This window comes from Homo sapiens, chromosome 11, assembly GCF_000001405.40.
Source record: "Homo sapiens chromosome 11, GRCh38.p14 Primary Assembly".
NCBI classification, from domain to species: domain Eukaryota; kingdom Metazoa; phylum Chordata; class Mammalia; order Primates; family Hominidae; genus Homo; species Homo sapiens.
In genome coordinates, this window is record NC_000011.10 from 87,001,205 (window position 1) to 87,003,569 (window position 2,365).

The following is a 2,365-nucleotide window of genomic DNA, read 5'->3' on the forward strand; positions in this document are numbered from 1 at the left end:
CCTCCCGAGTAGGTGGAATTACACGTGCCTGCCACCATGCCTGGCTAATTTTTTGTATTTTTAGTAGAGATAGGGTTTCACCATGTTGGCCAGACTGGTATCGAACTCCTGACCTCAGGTAATCCACCCACCTTGGCCTCCCAAAGTGCTGGGATTACAGGCATGAGCCACTGCAACTGGCCAGCCCCATCTTCTTTTGTGCTGGCCTTACAAAGCTTTATAGCATGGTAAGAGGCAGTGGTATAGTGGTTAAGAGAAAGAAATATAGCATCAGACACACTTAAGTTTGTGTGCGTCTCAGCTTTGCTATTTGTCTGACCTTGGTGAACTTACTTCCCTGAGATTCACTTTTCGTATTTCTAAAATAAAATAGGAGTAGCAATAACAGTACCCGCAACAATCCAAATATCCATTACCTGATGAATGGACAAACAAAATATGATACATTCATACAATGGCATATTACTCAATTATTAAAAGGAAGTATGATAGGCCGGGCGCGGTGGCTCACACCTGTAATCCCAGCACTTTGGGAGGCCGAAGCAGGTGGATCACCTGAGGTTGGGAGTTCGAGACCAGCCTGACCAACATGGAGAAACCCTGTCTCTACTAAAAATACAAAATTAGCTGGGCGTGGTGGTGCGTGTCCGTAATCCTAGCAACTCGGGAGGCTGAGGCAGAATTGCTTGAATCCGGGAGGCAGAGGTTGCGGTGAGCTGAGATCGTGCCATTGCACTCCAGCCTGGTCAACAAGAGCAAAACTGTCTAAAAAAAAAAAAAAGGAAGTATGATATATACCACAATAGAGATAAACCTTGAAAACATTATGCTAAGTGAAAGAAGCCAGGCACCAAAGATCATATATTTTATTCCATTTAGATGAAATGTACAGAATAGGCAAATCTATAGAGACAGAAAGGAGATTAGTGGTTGCTTAGAGTTTGGGAAGATGGGGAAAGTGAGGGATGATAACTAAAGAATATGAAGTTTCTAGTTAAGACTTGCATGGTTTACACTGATTGATGGTGCTAAAGTTGTGTGCCTGCATCTTTGTTGCAAGGGAGACTGGGAATTTGAGTTCAATTTTTCTAAATTGAGAAATTTGCCACTTAAATATGAAAATTTTAGGCCAGGCACAGTGGCTCATGCCTGTAATCCCAGCACTTTGGGAGGCCGAGGCAGGTGGATCACGAGTTCAGGAGTTCAAGACCAGCCTGGCCAAGATGGCGAAACCCCGTCTCTACTAAAAATACAAAAAATTAGCCGGGCGCGGTGGCAGGCGCCTGTAATCCCAGCTACTCGGGAGGCTGAGGCAGGAGAATCGCTTGAACCCGGAGGGGCGGAGGTTGCAGTGAGCCGAGATTGCGCCACTGTACTCCAGCCTGGGCAATAGAGTGAGTGAGACTCCATCTCAAAAAAAAGAAAAGAAAAAAAGAAAAAAGAAAATTTCTCCTAACATAGAAACGTTAATCAAAAGACAATGGGCAGTCGTGACTATAGTCAGATGCCTACAACAAGGACAAAGCATAGACTCCTAGAAAACCCAGCATCATAGGGGCCAACAGGGGAAGAGGATCCAGAGAAGAGTACAGAGAAGGCAAGGTAGCAGTATAGATGGAAAGAAAATCCAAAAAGAAAAAAAAATCAGAAAGAGGATTAAATAATTTTAAGGAGGGAGTTATCAAGAGTGTTAGTATTATACATAGGTCAATCAAATAAAGGCTGAGAATTATCCATTGGTGTTAGCCATTAGGAGGTCATTCATATCTTTAGTATGACTAATTTCAGTGGGCTAAAATGGAAATGGGAGATGATGACATGAAAACATACGGTATCTGAAGACCTGGGGATCTAATCTCAACATGTAGGTGTTGTAATAAACATCATCATTTTCAATCCTTGTAAAGCCTTATGAGGAAGGGACTATTATTACCCCCATTTTACAGATGACCTAACAGACTTTGAGATGAAAGGTCACATAGGGGCAACTCTGGGTTTCACAACCAGACTTGTCTGACATCAGAGTTAGAAAGAACTCAACCACTAGATCACACTGCCAATGCTTTATAATAGCTGTGGGTTTTAGGACAATCCCCAGAATTAGAGATTCTCAGAATGGGAAGGGATTTGAACTGGGTTCCTTTTGGTTCTGATTCAGTGGTTTTCTTAGATCTGCAAAGCCAGAATATGTCTCTACCCTTGTCTGCTCATTATATTATGTTTATTCCTCTTTTATATTTGGTTTTGAATCCATTTCTTCCTCTCTGATTTCTTTTTATTTTTCTTTTTTAATAGAGGTAGGGTCTCACTATGTTGCCTAGGCTGGTCTTGAACTCCTGGGCTCAAGCGATCCTTCCACCTTGGC